Source organism: Homo sapiens, chromosome 19 (assembly GCF_000001405.40).
Source record: "Homo sapiens chromosome 19, GRCh38.p14 Primary Assembly".
Classification (NCBI taxonomy): Eukaryota; Metazoa; Chordata; class Mammalia; order Primates; family Hominidae; genus Homo; species Homo sapiens.
Genome location: NC_000019.10, coordinates 2,388,871 through 2,411,734, shown reverse-complemented (window position 1 = coordinate 2,411,734; position 22,864 = coordinate 2,388,871). Strand labels below are relative to the sequence as shown.

General features: G+C 51.1%; 1 protein-coding gene across 9 annotated transcripts in view, besides 1 other annotated feature; it reads right to left on the bottom strand.

The window, feature by feature from the left end:
• Window positions 1–22,864, bottom strand: part of TMPRSS9 (transmembrane serine protease 9) — a 65,997-nt gene that overhangs the window by 14,527 nt on the left and 28,606 nt on the right. For 2 of the 9 annotated variants that reach the window (NM_001395513.1, XM_011527978.3), the window contains exons 2-10: window positions 21,808–21,974; window positions 15,069–15,196; window positions 12,873–12,940; window positions 12,542–12,717; window positions 9,719–9,760; window positions 8,540–8,653; window positions 6,190–6,361; window positions 3,105–3,379; window positions 1,341–1,477 (exon numbers count right to left, since the gene is read on the bottom strand). In NM_001395513.1, coding sequence (NP_001382442.1) covers window positions 1,341–1,477; window positions 3,105–3,379; window positions 6,190–6,361; window positions 8,540–8,653; window positions 9,719–9,760; window positions 12,542–12,717; window positions 12,873–12,940; window positions 15,069–15,196; window positions 21,808–21,949 — 1,254 coding nt within the window. In that variant the 5' untranslated portion in view covers window positions 21,950–21,974. Of the gene's footprint in view, window positions 1–1,340; window positions 1,478–2,315; window positions 2,350–3,104; window positions 3,380–6,189; window positions 6,362–8,539; window positions 8,654–9,477; window positions 9,761–12,541; window positions 12,718–12,872; window positions 12,941–15,068; window positions 15,197–15,290; window positions 15,559–21,807; window positions 21,975–22,864 lie in introns of those variants that run through there. The other 7 variants (NM_001385642.1, XM_047438777.1, XM_047438776.1 and 4 more) reach the window with 7 other exon arrangements.
• Window positions 17,272–17,361: an enhancer, noted in NCBI's record as "active region_13684". NCBI's record gives its function as "activates an Ori minimal core promoter by ATAC-STARR-seq in GM12878 lymphoblastoid cells {active_cell/tissue: GM12878}" and the evidence as "EXISTENCE:reporter gene assay evidence [ECO:0000049][PMID:35858748]".

Below are 22,864 nucleotides of genomic sequence, written 5' to 3'. Positions count from 1 at the left end.
ACTAAAAGTATAAAAATTATCCAGGCGTGGTGGTGGGCACCTGTTATTCCAGCTACTCGGGAGGCTGAGGCATGAGAACCACTTGAAACTGGGAGGTGAGCCAAGATGGTGCCACTGCACTCCAGCCTGGGTGACAGAGCGAGACAGTGTCTTAATTAAAAATACAAAAATTAGCTAGGTGTGGTGGCGCATGCCTATAATCACAGCTACTCTGGAGGCTGAGGCAGGAGACTCGCTTGAACCTGGGAGGCGGAGGTTGCAGTGAGCTGAGATCACACCACTGCACTCCAGCCTGGGTGACAGAGTGAGACTCCATCTCAAAAAAAAAAAAAAAGAAGAAGAAGAAAAAGAAGGTTCCAGGTATACAGCAGAAGCAGCTTTGGATGACCCCTGATTTTCTCTTTTTTTTTTTTTTTTTTTTTTTTTTTTTTTTTTGAGACAGAGTCTTGCTTTGTCGCCCAGGCTGGAGTGCAATGGCGTGATCTCAGCTCACTGCAACCTCCAGCTCCCAGGTTCAGATGATTCTCCTGCCTCAGCCACCCGAGGAGCTGGGATTACAGGCACCTGCCACCACGCCAGGCTAATTTTTGTATTTTTAGTAGAGACAAGGTTTCGCCATGTTGCTCAGGCTGGTCTCAAACTCCTGACCTCAAGTGATCCACCCGCCTTGGCCTCGCATAGTGCTGGGATTACAGGCGTGAGCCACCGTGCCCAGCCCTGGAACCTTCTTGAGTTGAGCCTGCAGCTCACTCATGGCCCAGCTGACCACCCAGGGGCAAAAGTCCACGGGGTTCCCATAGACCAACCCTTCCCATACAGACGGAGAGAATCTGATGCCCAGGGTATGTGCTGGCATCATTCATACAAGAGGTGTTTCTTGGGTGCCACGTTGTATCAGGCCCAGTGCTGGGAACAGTGTCTGTGTCCCCACACAAGTCCCGGTTTGGAGGGCAGCTGGGGGGGATTTACACAGGGACCCCATCATAGCCAGGGAGATTACTCAGGGACCCCAGGCTCTGTGGCACGCACCTGGGGCCCACTGGAAGGGAGCAGGGAGCCATGGAGGGCAGAGGAGGGATTGAAGTCAGGTTAGAGCTTCTGGAAGATCCTCTAAGCAGCACCTGCCTCTCAATCCCAACTGCTTTAAAATTCCTCAAGAACGGGCATCCAGATATCTGTGAATCGCCCAGCATTTGAACACGCTCGTGTCTGTGTTTTTCTGGGGTCTGGGGCGTTGGGGGCTCACAGCGGGCATCCAGATATCTGTGAATTGCTCAGCATTTGAACATGCTCGTGTCTATTTCTGTGTTTTTCTGGGGTCTGGGGCATCGGGGGCTCACCTGGCAGGAGTCCACCTTCCCGTCCAGGTAGCCAGCGCACACCATCCTGTCAGTGAGTGAATGGCCGTACAAGCTGGCACACAGTGCCTGGTCCAGCAGCTCCACAGTGGCTTTCTGCAGCACCTCTGGCTTGACCACTGGCCGAATGGGGAGAGAAAAGCAGGGTGAGAGTGCCGGAGCCCTGGCAGCCACTTTGAGCTGGGAGGCTGAAGGACAGCTCCTCTCCAAGCCTCCCTCAGTTTCCCCAGCTCCAAGCATGGCCACCTACAACACATGGCTCTGAAACTACAAAAGGTAAACACCCCACCTGGTAACACTCTCTGCCTGGACAAGGAAGAGGCATCAGACTTAACACCCCCAGCCCGAGGTCCTCATCTCCCTTCCGCAAGCTCCACCCCTCAGCATTCCCCATCTCAGGGATCTCAGGCCCCTCATTCCAGGTCCACAGTCCTCAAATTCCAAGTTGGCCTCAGGTCAGCCCCCAAATATACACAGAATCAGCCCCTGTCTCACGCCCATCCTTGCCCGGGTCATTATAGCTGTTCCCCACTCACTTCTCTTACTCTGGTCCCACCCCACTGAAATCCATTCCCAACCCGGCAGCCAGCACCACCCTTGCTAAATATTAAATCAGTCACATCAACCCCTGCCCTGCTGTCCTCCCACCCCAGGGCCTTTGCACATGCTGTTCCCGCTGTCTGAAATGCTTGTCCCTGCAGAATTTGCCTGACTTGCTCCTTCATCTCCTCTCTCCAGGAGGCATCTCCTGACCTCCCTATTTAAAGCTGCAGCTGCCACCCCCACCTTATTTTTCTCCACTGGATTCATTTCCCTCTGTCAGTCATCTTGTGGCTGATTGACAACCCCCTGGAACTACACCACCCAATATAGTAGCCACTGGCCACAGGTGACTATTTAGATGTGCATTTTAGTACATTAAGATCAATTTTTTTGGCCGGGTGAGGTGGCTCACACCTGTAATCCCAACACTTTGGGAAGCTGAGGCAGGAAGATCACGAGGTCAGGAGATCAAGACCAGCCCGGCCAACACGGTGAAACTTTGTCTCTACTAAAAAATACAAAAATAAAGTTGCCGGGTGTGGTGGTGCATGCCTATAGTCCCAGCTACTCAGAGGCTGAGGCAAGAGAATCGCTTGAACCCGGAGGCGGAGGCTGCAGTGAGCAGAGATCGCACCACTGCACTCCAGCCTGGGCAACAAGAGCAAAACTCCATCTCAAAAAAAAAAAAAAAAAATCGCAGTAGCATCGATGATGGGTTATAAATATATCTTAGCAAGCAGTGGAATTCGTGAATACAGAATCAGAGAATAATGCAGACCCACTGTGTTTTTCTGCATCATCATTATTATTATTATTATTATTATTATTATTATTATTATTATTTTGAGATGGAGCCTCCCACTGTCACCCAGGCTGGAGTCCAGTGGTGCGATCTTGGCTCAGTGCAACCTCCATCTCCTGGGTTCAAGCAATTCTCCTGCCTTAGCCTCCTGAGTAGCTGGAATTATAGGCACGCACCACCATGCCTGGCTAATTTTGTGTGTGTGTGTGTGTATTTTTTAGTAGAGACGGGTTTTCACTATGTTGGCCAGGCTGGTCTCAAACGCCTGACCTCGTGATCCACCCGCCTCGGCCTCCCAAAGTGCTGGGATGACAGGCGTGAGCCACCTCACCTGGCCCTTTTCTGCGTTATTTGCCCGCCTGCCTGCCTGAGCTCACTTGCAGGCCGAGGAAGATGCTTACGGAAGTCCTCCTTGAGGTAGCCCCAGCCTGAGATCAGGCACTTCTTGCTGGGTGGGAAGATGTGTGTGGCAGCCGGGAGGCACACGGGCTGGATGTGCCGGCCGAAAGGCAGAGGGCTGGTCAGCTCCAGCACAGCCACGTCAAAGTCGGCCGTGTCCGCGTTGTACAGGGGGTGCTTGACGATCTGGACCACCTGGGCCCGCACGGTGCTGGCCTCCGAGCCGCTGAGGTAGGTCGCACCCACGTAGGCCACCCACTTCGTCGGGTCTTGGAACCTGCAGGAGCAAACCCCAGCTCAGAAGCCACCGAGGGTCAGAGCCGTCGGGGGAGGCAGACGGGACACTCGCCTTGGGTGCAAAATGTAAGGGGTATCCCCCCACATTAATATTTATGAATAGTATTTATAAAAATCAGGCCAGACACAGTGGCTCATGCCTGTAATCCCACACTTTTGGAGGCTGAAGCGGGAGGATCACCTGAGCCCAGGAGTTCAAGACGAGCCTGGGCAACATAGCGAAACACAGTCTTTAAAAACAACAACAAAAAACAGGCCAGGTGCGGTGGCTCATGCCTGTAATCCCAGCACTTTGGGAGGCTGAGGCGGGAGGATCACGAAGGCAGGAATTCAAGACCAGCCTGGCCAAGATGGTGAAACCCCATCTCTACTAAAAATACAAAAATTAGCCGGGCATAGTGATGGGCGCCTGTAATCCCAGCCACTCAGGAGGCTGAGGCAGAGAATTGCTTGAACCCGGGAGGTGGAGGTTGCAGTGAGCTGATATTGTGCCACTGCACTCCAGCCTGGGCGACAGAGCAAGACTCTGTCTCAGAAAAAATATATATATATTAGCGGGGTGTGGCGATGTGCACCTGTGGTTTCAGCTCCTCAGGAGGCTGAGGTAGGAGGATTGCCTGAGCCTGGGAGGTTGAGGCTGTCATGAGCTATAGTGAGCTATCACTGCGCCACTGCACTCCAGCCTGGGCAACAGGTAACCTGTCTCAAAAAAAAAAAAAAAAAAAAAGAAAAGAAAAGAAAAAAATCACAGGTGCAGGAGAATGCATGATGCATGAAGTATCAACATTTTTGTTTTGTTTTGTTTTTTTGAGACAGAGTCTCGCTCTGTCTCCCAGACTGGAGTGCAGTGGCGTGATCTCAGCTCACTGCAACTTCCACCTCCCGGGTTCAAGTGATCCTCGTGCCTCAGCCTCCCAAGTAACTGGGATGACAGGTTTGCGCCCCCTATGCCCGACTAATTTTTTTGTGTGTTTTTAGTAGAGACAAGCTTTCACCATGTTGGCCAGGCTGGTCTCAAACTCCTGACCTCAAGTGATCCCCCCACCTCAGCCTCCCAAAGTGCTGGGATTACACTCATGAGCCACAAGCTCACTATAGCCTGTCCAAGTATCAACATTTTAAACAAAGACAGGATGAGACAGAGTTGGGATTAGGGTGAGGGGAGCCAGCCATGAGCCTTGGGCACAAAATTTAAAGAGTTGCCAAAAATCTCAGCCATCAAGATAAATGATATCGAGCCGGGTGCAGTGGCTCACACATGTAATCCCAGCACTTTGGGAGGCAGAGACGGGCAGATCACTTGAGGCCAGGAGTTCAAGACCAGCCTGGCCAACATGGCAAAACCACGTCTCTACTAAAAATACAAAAATTAGCCAGCCATGGTGGCGGGTGCCTGTAATCCCAGCTACTCGGGAGGCTGAGGCAGGAGAATCGCTTGATCCCGGGAGGTGGAGCTTACAGAGAGCCAAAACTGCACCACTGTACTCCAGCAGGGCGACAGAGTGAGACTCTGTCTCAAAAAAAAAAAAAGGATAATATCACGACAGAATATTTTAAAAAATCAAAGTGAATGCAAAAAATGTCCACAATGAGCAAAACATCAACAAAATGTCATTGGTCACCGAGAAATCCAAGTCAAAACCACAGGGAGATGCTACTTCACACCCACTGGCATGGCTACTCTCAAAAGAACAGCAAGTGGGCCAGGCACGGTGGCTCACGCCTGTAATCCCAGCACTTTGGGAGGCTGAGGTGGGCGGATCACCTGAGGACAGGAGTTCGAGACCAGCCTGGCCAACATGGCGAAAACCCATCTCTACTAATTATACAAAAAAAAAAAAATTAGCCAGGCATGGTGGCGTGCACCTGTAGTCCCAGCTACTTGGGAGGCTGAGGCAAGAGAATTGCTTTATCCCAGGAGGTGGAGGTTGCAGTGAGCTGAGATCGCACCACTGCACTCCAGCCAGGGCGACAGACTGAGACTCTGTCTCAAAAGAAAAAATAAAATAAAATAAAGAGGCCGGGCGCAGTGGCTCACGCCTGTAATCCCAGCGCTTTGGGAGGCCGAGGTGGGCGGATCACGAGGTCAGGAGATCGAGACCATCCTGACTAACATGGTGAAACCCCGACTCTACTAAAAATACAAAAAAAAATTAAATTAGCTGGGCGTGGTGGCGGGCGCCTGTATTCCCAGCTACTCGGGAGGCTGAGGCAGGAGAATGGCGTGAACCCGGGAGGCGGAGCTTGCAGTGAGCCGAGATCACGCCACTGCACTCCAGCCTGGGTGACAGAGCGAGACTCCATCTCAAAAAAAAAAAAAAGAAAGAAAGAAAGAAAAGAGGCCGGGCACGATGGCTCACACCTGTAATCCCAGCACTTTGGGAGGCCAAGGCAGGCAGATCACAAGGTCAGGAGATTGAGACCATCCTGGCTAACACGGTGAAACCCCGTCTCTACTAAAAATACAACAGGCGTGGTGGCGGGCGCCTGTAGTCCCAGCTACTCGGGAGGCTGAGGCAGGAGAATGGCGTGAACCCAGGAGGCGGAGCTTGCAGTGAGCCAAGATCGCGTCACTGCACTCCAGCCTGGACAACAGAGCGAGATTCTGTCTCAAAAAAAAAAAAAAAAAGAATGCCCTCAGATTCAACAACAGCAAAAGCAAGAAAGAAAGGAAAAGAAAAAATTACTTCCAGGGGCTCTAAGGAAACCAGAAGTGACGTCCCCAGTGCACGAGGGAAGGCAGGAGAAATACAGAGGGTTCGGGTTTGGTGCTTTGGGATGGGGGCTTACTCATTGAAGCAGTGAGCAGCAGACACCAGCCACCTGGCGTTGATGATGGCGGCCCCACAGAAGTGCTCCTTGTTCTCTCGAAGGCTGGCTTGCCACGGAAACTCCCCCGGGGATGCTTCCATGCCGCCCACGATCCTGCCGGCCATCCTCCAGGCAGGCTGCAAGCCACACTCTGCAAGACAGCAGGTCACCAGCCATGACCCCACGAAGGCAGGACCTCACCCTGAACTCCCAGAACATGCATCTCTGAGTCTCTCGTCTACAGTCCCTAAGTTCAAAGAGATGCTTGGGGGCCCCTCCTTGGCTTCCCTGACTCTTCTGGGGTCTCCCCATCCCTTCCTCTTCAACTCCTCGGCTGCCCCATCCTGGCACGTAGGTCAAGCATTCAAGGTCACGTGCACCAGTGAGTGGCAGAGAAAGGTCTCTATCTTAGCTGTGGGTAAGGGGCGATGACCCCACGTACATGTTTGTATAGGATATTGTGTCTGTCTGCTTATTTAGTCTACTTTTATGTCCTTCACAAAATTTTGTAATTCTATAATTATATATAATAATTATCATCACAGGCATGGCACGTTTGTAAGTTTAGTCTTTGATTTTTTTTTTTTTTTTTTGAGATGGAGTCTCGCTCTGTTGTCCAGGCTGGAGTGCAGTGGCGTGATCTCAACTCACTGCAAGCTCTGCCTCCCGGGTTCAAGGGATTCTCCTACCTCAGCCTCCTGAGTAGCTGGGATTACAGGCACCCGCCACCACACCTGGCTAATTTTTTGTACTTTTAGTAGAGCCGGGGTTTCACCAAATTGACCAGGCTGGTCTCGAACTCCTGACATCAAGTGATCTGCCTGCCTCGGCGTCCCAAAGTGCTGGGATTACAGGCCTGAGCCACGGCATCAGGCCTAGTCTTGATATTTTTTGTCACTACTGATCATGAAAGATATTTTTTCCTTTGTATCTTCTATCTTATTATTACTGTATAAAGCAAAATGACAGCTTTTTTTTTTTTGAGACAGAGTTTTGCTCTGTAGCTCAGGCTGGAGTACAGTGGCGTGATCTTGGCTCACTGTAACCTCCACCTCCCAGGTTCAAGGGATTCTCCTGCCTCAGCCTCCCAAAGTGCTGGGATTACAGGCGTGACCCACTGCACCCAGCCTTTATTCTAAATAGCTTTTTAGTCAATTTCTTGATTCATTTTATTTTACTCTTTCAGCTTCTCTCCTTCTGTTTGGATATTGATTTATTTTAGACAGACAATGATTTCAAATGAATTAAGATTTTCCTCTTCCTTTTCAATACTTAAACTGCTGTCCTTACCTTATTGCATGGGCTAGTATTTTTATAGAAACATTGGCTACTCTTCCAGCATTTTATTTATTTTTGAGACAAGGTCTCACTCTATTATCCAGGCTGGACAGTGCAGTAGTGCAATCATAGCTCACTGCAGCCTCAATCTACTGGGCTCAAGCAATCCTTCCACCTCAGCCTCCTGAGTAGCTGGGGCCACAGGCGCCCACCACCACGCTGGCTAATTTTTTTTTCTTTTTTTTTTTTTTTTTTGAGACAGAGTCTCGCTCTGTTGCCAGGCTGGAGTGCAGTGGCGTGATCTTGGCTCACTGCAAGCTCCACCTCCCGGGTTCACGCCATTCTCCTGCCTCAGCCTCCCAAATAGCTGGGACTACAGGCGCCCGCCACCACGCCCGGCTAATTTTTTGTATTTTTAGTAGAGAGGGGGTTTCACCGTGTTAGCCACGATGGTCTCGATCTCCTGACCTCGTGATCTACCTGCCTCAGCCTCCCAAAGTGCTGGGATTACAGGTGTGAGCCACCGTGCCTGGCCAATTTTTTTTTTTTTTTAGTAGAGATGGGGTCTCACTATATTGTCCAGGCTGGTCTGAAACTCCTGGCCTCAAGTGATCCTCCTGCCTTGGCCTCCCAAAGTGCTGGGATGACAGGTGTGAGCCACCGCACCCTGCTAATCTCTTACGGCATTTTAATTGTCTCTTTCCGTTGCTCACATCCCTGTGGCCACGCCCCACTGCTTATAGGACAGAGCTCCAGTTCCTGGTATTCAACACTTCCCAGGCTGTGGCCACAACCTCTGTTTTCAGCCTGATATCTTCTCCCTCCTCTCCCCAGGCTTCTTCCCATCACACACCTGCACTTTTCCTTTACTCTGCTGTTTGCTCATGTTTCTCCCCATACCATGGGTGCCCCTTTCTTTTCTCTGCCCAGCCCCCATAAATGCCAGGCCTGTGTGCCCAGTGAAATAAGCACAGTGACCACAGACCAGAGCCAGCAGCTGACCCTGGAAAAGGGAAGGGGCCCAGAGACCAGGCCAGACAGGCAGACTGACCGCAGTGCGCCTCGTCGGACCCATCGGAGCAGTCCTCCTGGTCGTCACACTCCGGGTTCACCTTGGTCACACACTGGCTGTTCCCGCAGGAAAAGGAGTTCCCTGGACAGCGGCCTGAGGACAGAAAAGAACCGACTTTCTGACCTCATGCTACATCTCCTGGTTGGAGTAAGGCACCATGCTATACTTAGTACCACCAGGGTACGGAAATGTGGAAACTCTCTCTCTCCTTTTCTTTCCTTTTCCTTGTTTTTATTTTTGTTTTTGAGACAGGGTCTAGCTCTGTTACCCAAACGGGAGTGCAGTGGTGCAATCACAGCTCACCGCAGCCTCTAACTCCAGGTTCAAGCAATCCTCCTGCCTCAGCCTCCTGAGTAGTTGGGACCACAGGTGCACACCACCAACCCAGGCTATTTATTTTATTTATTTTTATTTTATTTTATTTATTTATTTTTTTGAGACAGAGTTTCACTCTTGTTGCCCAGCCTGGAGTGCAATGGCACAATCGCGGCTCACCGCAACCTCCGCCTCCCTGGTTGAAGTGATTCTCATGCCTCAGCCTCCTGAGTAGCTGGGATTACAGGCACGCCCCACCACGCCTGGCTAATTTTGTATTTTTAGTGAGATGGGGTTTCTCCATGTTGGTCAGGCTGGTCTCGAACTCCTGACCTCAGGTGATCCACCCACCTCGGCCTCCCAAAGTGCTGGGATTACAGGCATGAGCCAGTGCGCCCGGCCTTATGTATTATTTTTTGAGACACAGTTTCACTCTGTCACCCAGGCTGGAGTGCAGTGGCGTGATCTCAGCTCACCGCAGCCTCTGCCTCCTGGGTTCAAGCGATCCTCCTTCCTCAGCCTCCCAAGTAGCTGAGAGTACAGGCAATACGCCACTATGCCCGGCTAATTTTTATTATTTTTTATAATAATTTTAAAAATTATTTTTGGCCTTTTTTTATTATTATTTTTGTAGAGATAGGGTCTCGCTCTGTTGTCCAGCCTGGTCTCAAACTCCTGGCCTCAAGTGATCCTCCTGCCTCAGCCTCCTGAAGTGCTGGGACGACAGATGTGAGCCACCGCGCCCAGCCTCGTTCCAGGGATTCCTTCACTTCCTTGAAATGAGTCTTAGGAAACCTCTGTCAGTAACTGCAATCAGAGAAAAGGCCAGAGAGAAAAACATACCTGATTTGAAGTCTCTTTCTGCCAAGGGTCCCTTATGTCTCCCTGCAACAAAACAGAGAAGATAGAAGCTCACTGAATAAGCGGTAAAACCCTTTGAACACATCCTATTGGCCGGGCGCGGTGGCTCACACCTGTAATCCCAGCACTTTGGGAGGCTGAGGCGGGTGGATCATTTGCGGTCAGGAGTTACAGACCAGCCTGGCCAACATGGTGAAACCCTGTCTCTACTAAAAATACAAAAATTAGACGGGTGTGGTGCCGGGCGCCTGTAATCCCAGCTACTCGGGAGGCTGAGGCAGGACAATCGCTTGAACCCGGGAGGCAGAGGTTGCAGTGAGCCGAGATCACACCATTGTACTCCAGCCTGGGCGACAGAGCGAGACTCCATCTCAAAAAAAAAGAAAAAAGAAAGAAAGAAAACGTCCTATTGCAGGCAGGTCATGGAGTAAAGTGAGCAGCTGCCTTGTCCACCCTGGCGTCACTTAAATTCTGCCTTCAATCAGCGAGGATGAAATCTACTTCAACACCGATCCTCAGTCTCACTTGCCCCACGGGGAGCACTCACCAGCCCCAGGGCTCGGACGGCCACCAAACTGCACAAGGCCTGGAACCTCCCTATCACCAAGGGAAGTTCTGTGAACGCTGGAGCAGAGGTTATTAAGACCTCGACCAGCATGTGACGGTTGGTGGGGAGGGAACCATAAATGTCCTGCATGTCAAGGTCAAGGTGACTTTTTTTTTTTGAGACGGAGTCTCCCTCTGTCGCCCAGGCTGGAGAGCAGTGGCGCGATCTCGGCTCACTTCAAGCTCCGCCTCCCGGGTTCACGCTATTCTCCTGCCTCAGCGTCCCAAGCAGCTGGGACTACAGGCGCCCGCCACCACGCCCGGCTGATTTTTTGTATTTTTAGTAGAGACGGGGTTTCACCGTGTTAGCCAGGATGGTCTCGATCTCCTGACCTTGTGATCTGCCCACCTCGGCCTCCTAAAGTGCTGGGATTACAGGCGTAAGCCACCGCGCCCGGCCATTTTTTTTTTTTTTTTAAGACAGAGTCTCACTCTGTTACCCAGGCTACAGTGCAGTGGTGCTATCTTGGCTCACTGCAACCTCCACCTCCACCAGGTTTAAGCAATTCTCCTGCCTCAGCCTCCCAAGTAGCTGGGATTATAGGCGCCCGCCACCATGCCCGGCTAATTTTTTTATTTTTAGTAGAGATGGGGTTTCACCGTGTTGGCCCGGCTGGTCTCAAACTCCTGACCTCAGGTGATCCACCCACCTCGGCCTCCCAAAGTGCTGGGATTACAGGCATGAGCCACCACACCTGGCAACAAATCTTTAACAATGGTCTGAACTTGCATCTGACTCTCCAATCATGACCTGCTGCACCGTACAATTTTGTTTTTTATTTTTTAAAACCAGGTGCATACAAAATCATGCACTGTATAATTTTATTTTTTATTTTTATTAATTTTTTTTTGAGATGGAGTCTCACTCTGTCACCCAGGCTGGAGTGCAGTAGTGCAACCTTGGCTCACTGCAACCTCCGCCTCCTGGGTTCCAGCAATTCTCCTGCCTCAGCCTCCTGAGCAGCTGGGATTACAGGCACGTGCCACCACACCCAGCTCATTTTTGTATTTTTAGTAGAGACGGGGTTTCGCCATGTTGGCCAGGCTGGTCTCGAACTCCTGATCTGAAGTGATCAGCCCACCTTGGCCTCCCAAATTGCTGGAATTACAGGCATAAGCCACCACACCCGGCCTTCCATACAATTTTATTAGAGTGTAGCATTTATCCTTGATTCTACAGTAGGGGGTTGGCCAACTACGGCCATAGGCCAAATCCAGCCCACTGCTTGTTATTTTTAATAAGTTTTATTGGTAAACAGCCACACCTATTCATTTATGTATTGTCTGTGGCTACTTTTGTGCTACAAATAACAGAGCTGAGTGCTTGTCACAGAAACCCAACGGACCACAAAGATGAAAATATTAACTGGGCACGTGGCTCACACCTATAATCCCAGCACTTTGGGAGGCCAAGGCAGGAGGATCACCTGAGGTCAGGAGTCCAAGACCAGCCCAGTACACATGGTGAAACCCCATCTCACTAAAAATACAAAAATTAGCCAGGCGTGGTGGTGCGTGCCTGTAATCCCAGCTACTCGGGAGTGAGTCGGGAGCTACTGAGGCAGGAAAATTGCTTGAACCTGGGAGGCAGAAGCTGCAGTGAGCCAAGACTTCATTATTGCACTCCAGACTGGGCAACAGAGTGAGATCCTGTCTCAAAAATAAAAAAAATGGAAAAGAAAAGAGAAGACAAGACAAGACAACACAACACAACACAACACTCTGGCTCTTTACAGAACAAGATGGCTGACCCCTTATCCACACCATTAAGGCAAAGGCAATGTCAGTTTTTACATTTGTTTGTTTGTTTGTTTTTGAAACGAAGTTTCACTCTTTTTGCCCAGGCTGGAGTGCAATGGCACGATCTCGGCTCACTGCAACCTCCGCCTCCCAGGTTGAAGCAGTTCTCCTGCCTCAGCCTCCTGTGTAGGTAGGATTACAGGTGCACACCACCACGCCCAACTGATTTTTGTATTTTTAGTACAGATGGGGTGTTGGCCAGGCTGGTCTCAAACTCCTGACCTCAGGTGATCCACCCGCCTCGGCCTCCCAAAATGCTGGGGTTGCAGGCATGAGCCACCACACCCGGCCAGTTTGTTTTCTTTTTATGGGAAGGGGTGGTTATCAAAATGTATCTTGCAGCTCCTGCCCCACTCCAGCCTCCTCGTGATGGGGTTTCGGTCTCGGCTGCCCACTCACCTGTGAGCTCAGCCGACACAATTGTGCCATAGGCAGCCAGGGAGATGCCGTGCTCCCGCAGCCTTGCCCGGATCCCTCGCTGCAATAGCTCCTCCTCCAGGCCCAGGCTCAGCGTCTGGAGGGGTCGCAGCAGAAAGTGCAGCTGGAAATGTACGAGGACACTGGAGTTCCCATCCCTACAGGTATGGAGGAGAGGCCCTTGGAGAGGGAGGGGCTCCGCCCTGCTGGAATCTTCTGGAATCTTCTAGAATCTTCCAAACTTTTCTGGACTCCTCCAGAAACTCCCAGATGTCCACCAAGTTTCCTTCACCCAATGGAAGCTCCAACTCACCTATAATTCAGTACCGAGCAACCCACGCAGCTTGCCTCTAACTCTGTCTTCTGAAAACTACTTACAAACTGCAATAGAAACAAGAATATCAAATGTTGAGACCCACAGCATGGGCACCCTGGCACTGCAGAGGCCTGTCAGGTGTTGGAGGGAGCTGGAGAAGGGGTTGGTTCCATGGGAAAGCATTTCCTTTTATTATTTTAAATTTTTATCTATATGTACGTATGTATGTATGTATGTATTGTGAGACAGAGTCTTGCTCTGTCACCCAGGCTGGAGTGCAGTAGTGCATTCTCCACTCACTGCAACCTCCGCCTCCCAGGTTCAAGCGATTCTGCTGCCTCAGCCTCCCAAGAAGCTGGGATTACAGGTGCCCGCCACCATGCCCAACTAATTTTTTGTATTTTTAGTAGAAATGGGGTTTCACTATGTTGGCCAGGCTGGTCTCGAACTCCTGACCTTGTGATCCACCTGCCTTGGTTTTCCACAGTGCTAGGATTACAGTTGTGAGCCACCACGCCCAGACTTATGTTTTATTTTTAAATTTTTTATTATTATTATTATTTTGAGACAGAGTCTTGCTCTGTCGCCTGGGGTGGAGTGCAGTGGCACGATCTCGGCTCATTGCAACTTCCGTCTCTCAGGTTCAAGCAATTCTCCTGCCTCAGCCTCCCAAGTAGCTGGGATTACAGGCACACACCACCATGCGTGGCTAATTTTTTGTATTTTTTAGTAGGGACAGGGTTTCACTATGTTGGCCAGGCTGGTCTTGAACTCCTGACCTCGTGATCCGCCCACCTCAGCCTCCCAAATTAGCTGGGCATGGTGGTGTGTGCCTGCACTCCCAGCTACTCGGGAGGCTGAGGTGGGAGGATTGCTTGAGCCCAGGAGGCGTCACAGGCGTGAGCCACCACGCCCAGCCTATTTTTAAAAATTGTTTTTTAAGATGGAGTCTCACTCGGTCACCCAGGCTGGAGTGCAATGGCACGATCTTGGCTCACTGCAACTTCTGCCTCCTGGGCTCAGGCAATCCTCCCACCTCAGCCTCCCGAGTAGCTGAGACTACAGGCACACACCACCACGCCCCGCTAATTTTTGTGTTTTTACTAATGGTGGGATTTTGTCATGTTGCTCAGGCTGGTCTCAAAACTCCTGACCTCAGGTATCCACTCTCCTCGGCCTCCCAAAGTGCTGGGATTACAGATGTGAGCCACCCACCGTGCCCGCCTGGAGTGCTGTTTTTAATACGTGATTGCTGATGTGGTCACACGTCTGTTTCTCTTCGAATAAAATGGAAAACATTATTTTTTCATTAAAATATAATTCGCTGTGTCCTGTGTCCAAGCCTGGCCCCTTTTCCTGGCTGAGTCATATTCCAGTGTGTGCATAGCCACGCTGTGTTTCCCTGTTCATCCTAGGTGGTGGGTGCCTGTAACCCTGGCTACTCAGGAGGCTGAGACAGGAGAATCGCTTGAACCCGGGAGGCAGAGGTTGCAGTGAGCCATGATCCTGCCACTGCACTCCAGCCTGGACAACAGAGCAAGACTCCGTCTCAAAAAAATAAAATAAAATACCTTCCCCCAGCTGTGCATGAGGGCTCTGATTCCCCTTTAGAATAAAATGTAAAACTCTAAATGTGGCAGGTTGGGTACGGTGACTCACGCCTGTAATCCCAGCACTTTGGGAGGCCGTGGAGGGAAGATCATTTGAGGTCAGGAGTTCAAGACCATCCTGTCCTACATGGTGAAACCCCGTCTCTACTAAAAATACAAAAATCAGCTGGACGTGGTGGCGTGCACCTGTAATCCCAGCTACTCGGGAGGCTGAGGCAGGAGAATCGCTTGAACCTGAGCAGCGGAGCTTGCAGTGAGCCGAGATCATTCCACTGCACCCCAGCCTGGGTGACAGAGTGAGACTCCGTCTCAAGAAAAAAAAGAAAAAAAAAAAAACCTCTAAATGTGGCCTAAAGTCCCATGTGAGTGTGTCCTCAGTGGATACAGCTCTGCCTTGCAGGTATCTGCCTTGGCCACCTGGCCTCGTCCTGCCCGCCCCCTGGCCTGGCCTCCCGGTCTCACAGCCTCCACCTCAGCTTCGTTGCCTGTGGCCTGCCTCCCTCCCACACGGAAAGCACCTCCAGGTCAAAGCCCCCGGCCACCCGCTCTTCCTCCCTGGCCCCCAAACACAGACCACCCTCACCAGTGCCTCCAGGGTGGGCGTCAGCGTGCGGTGATAGTCCGAGGTCTCCCGCCGCAAACTGCTGGTCCACCGGATTCCCCGCAGCTCGGCCGTGTGGTCCACGTGGAAGCCCTGTGTAGAGAGGAAGGCTGGGGACGAGACCAGGGCCCGTGAGAGAGCCCACCTTTGGGGGCTCAGGGCTCCGCTGAGCTGCCACCCAGGCCCCGCCCTGTTTGCACTCACACACCCTGGTGGTCACTCCTGACACGCAGTGGGGTGGTCGACGCCCCCGTGATAGCCCTGAATAGCTACTCACAGGGCTCTCCCTCAATTCCCAAAAGCATCCTGGTTTGGAGCCGAATTCTATGACAGCCACCCACCCGGAGGTCCCCAGGTACAGCACAAGGTGGATGAGTGCCAAGTGAGCCCCAGATGCCCCCGTGTTTTCCTCGAAGGCAGAAAGAGGTCCTGCTCATGCCTGTCTCCCATGCAGTGCCTGGCCCAGGATCTGAGCTGACTTCAGGGCGTAACCTCTGGAATGGCATCAGGAGACGGTGAAATGACAGTCCCCGCCTCCTATGGCAGGGGCATGAGCACAGCCAGAGGCCATCAGGACTCTCCGGCCACAGTCCCATGAGGTCATCTTCAAAAACCACTGGTTGGTTTGTGTTTGTTTGTTTGAGACAGAGTCTCGCTCTGTCGCCCAGGCTGGAGTGCGGTGGCGCAATCTCGGCTCACTGCAAGCTGCGCCTCCCGGGTTCATGCCATTCTCCTGCCTCAGCCTCCCGAGTAGCTGGGACTACAGGCACCCACGACCACGCGTGGCTAATTTTTTTGTATTTTTAGTAGAGACGGGATTTCACTGTGTTAGCCAGGATGGTCTCTATCTCCTGACCTCGTGATCCGCCCTCCTCGGCCTCCCAAAGTGCTCAGATTACAGGCGTGAGCCACCACACCCGGCCTGTTTGTTTTGAGACAGAGTTTTGCTCTTGTTGCCCACACTGGAGTGCAATGGCATGATCTCGCCTCACTGTAACCTCCGCCTCCCGGGTTCAAGCAATTCTCCTGCCGCCTCAGCCTCCGGAGTAGCTGAGATTACAGGCATGCACCACCATACCCAGCTAGTACAGATGGGGTTTCTCCATGTTGGCCAGGCTGGTCTCAAACTCCCGACCTCAGATGATCCGCCAGCCTTGGCTTCCCAAAGCACTGGGATTAACAGGCATGAGCCACCGCGCCCGGCCTTGTTTGTTTTGAGATAGGGTCTCACTCTGTCACCCAGGCTGGAGTGCAGTGGTGTTTTCTCAGCTCGCTGCAACCTCCATCTCCCGGGTTCAAGCGATCCTCCTGCCTCAGCCTCCTGCCTCAACCTGCTGAGTAGCTGGGATTACAGGCGTGGACCACCACACCTGGCTAGTTTTTTTGTATTTTTAGTACAGACTGGATTTCACCATGTTGGCCAGGCTGCTCTGGAACTCCTGACCTCAGGTGATCCACCCGCCTTGGCCTCCCGAAGTGCTGAGATTACAGGCGTGAGCCACTGCACCCAGCGTTAATTTTTGTATTTTTAGCAGAGATGGGGTTTCGCCACATTGGCCAGGCTGGTCGGGAACTCCTGACCTCAGGTGATCTGCCCGCCTCAGCCTGCCAAAGTGCCGGGATGACAGGCGTGAGCCACCACGCCAGGCAGAAAGCACTGGTTTTTAGCTGTTGGCTGTGTTGTGTCCAAAGTACAAAGTACAGCAAAAATAATAGTCATAAAAAATTCCTATGCTGATGCAAGCAGCAGCAGAAAAAAATCTAAATAAAAACTACGAGAGCAACCACAGAAACCATGAGAGCACGAGTTTTGGTCAAAAATACGTTAAAACTACCAGAAGTGCACACCAGCGCAAAAAAAATGGCCGTAATTACAACATTTAAACCATGCAAATAGCAACCGCGTAAACCGTGAAAGCTGGGTCCCAATTCCGTTTATCCTAAATGGATAGATATGCTAGATGGGTATTTACGTAGCCATATATTCAGTAGATAGAATATTCTGAACCAATTCTAAAAACGGTATGTTTTCTCGTTCAAGAAACTAAAGAAACACGAGCACCCTGGTGGGCGGACTGAATTGCCCCGCCTCTGTGTCCCAACCTCACTCTGTTTCTACTCTAAACAACTGCAGATTCAGGAAGTTGCAGAAATAGTTCAGAACGCCTCCCGCTCTCCACTCAGCCTCTCATCTCCAACTAAAATGGTGAGCTGTTTGCGAAGGGCTGAATTCTCATTTTTATTTTTTTAAATGTTTTATTTTTTTGAGACAAGGTCTCTATTGTTCGGGCTTCAGTGCAGTGGCACAATCACTGCTCACTGCAGCCTCGACCTCATGGGCTCAGGTGATCCTCCTGCCTTAGCCTCCCAAGTAGCTAGACCACAGAGACCACAGGCGCCCACTATCACGCCTGGCTGGCTAGCTTTCTCTTTCCTTCTCTTTTCTTGACACAGTCTCACACTCTGTTGCCAGGCTGGGATGCAGTGGCACGATCTTGGCTCAGTGCAACCTCTGCCTCCTGGGTCCAAGCGATTCCCTTGCCTTAGCTTCCCGAGTAGCTAGGACTACAGGCACATGCCACCATGACCAACTAATGTTTTTTGTATTTTAGTAGAGACGGGGTTTCATCATGTTGGCCAGGATGGTTTCAATCTCCTGACCTCATGATCCGCCCAACCCGGCCTCCCAGAGTGCTGGGATTACAGGTGGGAGCCACCGCGCCCAGCTTTTTTTTTTTTTTTTTTTTTTTGGAGACATGGTCTCCCTTTGTTGCCCAGGTTGGAGTGCAGTGGCATGATCTCGGCTCACTGCAACCTCCACTTCCCGGGTTCAAGCAATTCTCCAACCTCAGCCTCCTGAGTAGCTGGGATTACAGGCGCGTACCAGTCTGCCCAGCTAATTTTTGTATTTTAGTAAAGACAGGGTTTCACCCATGTTGGCCAGGCTGGTCTCAAACTCCTGACCTCATGATCTACCTGCCTCAGCCTCCCAAAGTGCTGGGATTACCGGGGTGAGCTACTATGCCTGGCCCTGGCTAATTGTTTGCATTCTTTTGTAGAGACAGGGTTTCCCCATGTTACTGTGTCCGAAATTCGTGGGTTCTTGGTCTCACTGACTTCAAGAATGAAGCTGCGGATCCTCACGCTGAGTGTTACATTTCTTAAAGATGGTGTGTCCGGAGTTTGTTCTTGCTGATGTTCGGATGTGTTCGGAATTTCTTCCTTCTGGTGGGTTCGTGGTCTTGCTTGCTTCAGGAGTGACGCTGTAGACCTTCCCAGGGAGTGTTGCAGCTCTTAAGGCAGCGTGTCTGGAGTTGTTCATTCCTCCTGGTGGGTTTGTGGTTTTGCTGGCCTCAGGAGTGAAACTGCAGACCTTCACAGTGAGTGTTACAGCTCATAAAAGCATCTCACACCCAACGAGTGAGCAGCAGCAAGATTTCTCGCAGAGAATTAAAAAACAAATCCTCTACACTGTGAAAAGGTCCCCAAGCCGGTTGCCGCTGCTGGCTCCAGCAGTCCGCTTTTATTCCCTTATCTGGCCCCACCCACATCCTCCTGATTGGCCCATTTTACAGAGCGCTGATTGGTCCATTTTACAGAGAGCTGACTGGTCCGTTTTGACAGGGTGCTGATTGGTGTGTTTACAATCCCTGAGCTAGACGCAGGGTGCTGATTGGTGCATTTACAAATCTTTAGCTAGACACAAAAGTTCTCCAAGTCCCCACTAGATTAGCTAGACACAGAACACTGATTGGTGCGATTGGTGCATTTGCAAACCTTGAGCTAGACACAGGGTGCTCATTGGTGCATTTACAAACCTTTAGCTAGACTTAAAATTTCTCCAAGTCCCCACTAGATTAGCTAGACACAGAGCACTGATTGGTGTGTTTATAAACCTTGAGCTAGACACAGAGTGCTTATTGGTGCATTTACAATCCTCTAGTTAGACATAAAAGTTATCCAAGTCCCCACCAGATTAGCTAGACACAGAGTGTTCACTGGTGCATATACAATCCTCCAGCTAGACATAACAATTCTTCAAGTCCCCACTCGACTCAGGAGCCCAGCTGGCTTCGCCCGGCCCTGGCTAATTTTCTGCATTTTTTGTAGAGACAGGGTTTCACCATGTTACCAGGCTGAACTGGAACTCCTGGGCTCAAGCAATCCTCCCGTTTCAGCGTCCCAGAGAGCTGGGATTACTGGCGTGAGCCACTACGCCTGGCATCATGTCCTTTTTTCTTTTTCTTTTTTATTTTTTATCAGGGTGTCACTCTGTCTCCCAAGCTGGAGTGCAGTGGTGTGATCATAGCTCACTGCAGGCTCCAACTCCTGGGCTCAAGCAATCCTCCCACCTCAGTCTCCCGAGTAGCAGGGACTACTGGCACGCACAACCACTCATTTTCACTGAAAACATTATAAAATTTTAATTTTAAATGTTTCTTGTCTTCATTATTTAATTTTTTGTAGAGATGGGGTCTTGCTATGTTGCCTAGGTTGGTCTCGAACTCCTGAGCTCAAGCAATCCTCCTGCCTCAGCCTCCCAGAGTGCTGGGATTACAGGCAGGAGCCACCACACTTGGCCTTAAGTGCTTCTTGAAAGACTTCCTGATGGGGCGTGGTGGCTCATGTCTGTAATCCCAGCACTTTCGGAGGCCAAGGCAGGTGGATCACTTGAGGTCAGCAGTTTGAGACCATCCTGGCCAATATGGCAAAACCCTATCTCTACTAAAAATACAAAAATTAGCTCGGCGTAGTGGCACACACCTGTAATCTCAGCTACCCAGGAGGCTGAGGCAGGAGAATCGCTTGAACCTGGGTGGTGGAGGTTGTGATGAGCTGAGATTGTGCCACTGCACTCTGTCGCGCCTGGGAGACAGAGTGAGACTCCATCTCAAAAAAAAAAAAAAAGACTTCCTTTCCTTTCAGGGGGGTCCTGATGGGAATTATATTTATCTGTTTTTCCCAAAATGTATTTGTTACAATGCAGATGAGAAACTCTGCCCCGCCCCTGCCTCTCACTAGGTGATGGACACACACACACACACACGCATGCACACATAGATACACACGCAGACACACACATGCATGCACAAACGCATGCAAATGAACACGTGTGCACCATGCACACACTCATGAACACACAAATACACTCACACGAGGAACCCAAATTGTATTGTACTTGGTACCTACAGCCACTAGAGGGCCTCAGTCAAACATGTCTGGCTCTGGGAGTTTCCAGAAGTTCCACAAATATTTTTTAAAAAAAAGAAAAAAGAAAAAAAAAAACCTAGGAGGATTCTCATAGGATCGCGAACTTACTATTTTGCCACACGAGAGCATTTCTCCCCAAATTGCTGTTTATTATCATCATTTAAATGTTAAAATTAACTTTTTTTTTTTTTTTTTTTTTTGAGATGGAATTGCTCTGTTGCCCAGGCTGGACTGCAAGGGCATGATCTCGGCTCACTGCAATCTCTGCCTCCTCCTGGGCTCAAGCAATTCTCCTGCCTCAGCCTCCCAAGTAGCTGGGATAACAGGCGTGCACCACCATGCTCAGCTATCTTCCTTCCTTCCTGCCTACCTGCCTGCCTGCCTCCCTCCCTCCCTCCCTCCCTTTCTTTCTTTCTTTCTTTCTTGTATTTTTAGTAGAGATGGGGTTTCACCATGTTGGTCAGGGTGGTCTCGAACTCCTGACCTCATGATCTGCTCACTTCAGCCTCCCAAAAAGTTGAGATTACAGGTATGAGCCACTGCACCCGGCCTTATTTTAAATTTATTATTATGTTTTTATTTTTTGAGATAGAGTCTCACTCTGTCACCCAGGCTGGAGTGCAGTGGTGCGATCTCAGCTCACTGCAACCTCTGCCTCCCAGGTTCAAGCGATTCTCCTGCCTCAGCCTCCTGAGTAGCTGGGACTGCAGGTGCCACCACGCCTGGGTAATTTTTTGTATTTTCTGTAGAGGCAGGGCTTTATCATGTTGCCTAGGCTGTTCTCAAACTCCTGGGCTCCGATGGTCCTCCCGCCTCAGCCTCCCAAAGTGCTGGGATTACAGGCGGGAGCCACCACGCCCAACCCAGTTGCTCGGTTTTATAAAAATACTTTTGGGGCCGGGCGCGGTGGCTCATGCCTGTAATCCCAGCACTTTGGGAGGCTGAGGCGGGCGGATCATGAGGTCAGGAGATCGAGACCATCCTGGCTAACACGGTGAAACCCCGTCTCTACTAAAAATACAAAAAATTAGCCGGGGGTGGTGGCGGGCGCCTGTAGTCCCAGCTACTCGGGGAGGCTGACACAGGAGAACGGTGTGAACCCGGGAGGTGGAGCTTGCAGTGAGCCGAGATATCACACCACTGCACTCCAGCCTGGGCGACAGAGAGAGACTCCGTCTCAAAAAAAAAAAAAAACAAAAAAAAAAACTACTTTGGGTATTTTGCTGATTTGCCAAAATTTAAAACAAGGTCATTTCCCTGTCTCTGTTTCTCTGTCACCCCAGCTGTGAAAACTTCCTTCGGGAGCTTCTTTAGTCGGGAAAACTGACACACGTAGGAACTCATCTGCTCCACTCCCCGCCCACCCGCCTGGCCTAGGGCAGCCTTCATCTCCACGCCTAGACACTGCCCTTTGATTCCAGATGGCCAAGGAGACACCATCAAGTCACTTCCCGGTGACTTTGCACATGTCCCTTGTATTGCGAACCCAGCCAATCCCATAGCCACTTACCCAAAAGGACTCCCAGGGTGAGGACGACAAGGCTGGTGGCCACCACGCCAATGCTGGCCGCTCGACAGCACGCGGCATCCAGAGCGGGGACTTCCTTGGTTGTCCTGGGCACGAGGTGTACGTCAGCCACAGTGGGCTCCATGGCTCAGAGACACGCAGACAGCGAGCTGGATGCCACACAGCAAGACAGAAACACGGGGTCAGAGGCTGAAGGTGCTTCTCTTCCCATAAGCAAGGGTTGCAACTATACCCTTAAAAACGGCGGGGCGCGGTGGCTCACGCCTGTCATCCCAGCACTTTGGGAGGCTGAGGCAGGAGGACGATTTGAGGTCGGGAATTCCAGATCAGCCCGGCCAACATGGAGAAACCCCATCTCTACTAAAAATCCAAAATTAGCCAGGCATGTTGGTGCACACCTGTAATCCAGCTACCCAGGAGGCTGAGGCAGGAGAATCGCTTGAACCCGGGAGGCGGAGGCTGCAGTGAACCGAGATCACGCTACTGCACTCCAGCCCGGGTGACAGAGCGAGACTCCAAAAAAAAAAAAAAAAAAGACCAGATGCGGTGGCTTATGCCTGTAATCCCAGCACTTTGGGAGGCCAAGGTGGGTGAATCACTTGAGGTCAAGAGTTTGAGACCAGCCTGGCCAACATGGTGAAACCCCATCTCTACTAAAAATACAAAAAATTAGTCAGGCGTGGTGGTGGGCGCCTGTAATCCCAGCTACTCGGGAGGCTGAGGCAGGAGAATCGCTTGAACCCGGGAGGCGGAGGTTGCAGGGAGCTGAGATCACGCCACTGCACTCCAGCCTGGCGACAGAGCAAGACGCCATCTCAAAAAAAAAAAAAAAAGGTGGAACGTGACTGCTGGCTGGGCGGCTGTGTGAGGATGAGGACTCCCGTGGGTCGCTGCGGTCCATTGCTAGAAAGAGTAAGTCTGAAGTTCCCACAGCTGCTGTAACAAAGGACCCCACGCTTGGGGGCTTAGAGGGACACCGAGTTTTCGGCCAGGCGTGGTGGCTCACACCTGTAATCCCAGCATTGTGGGAGGCTGAGGT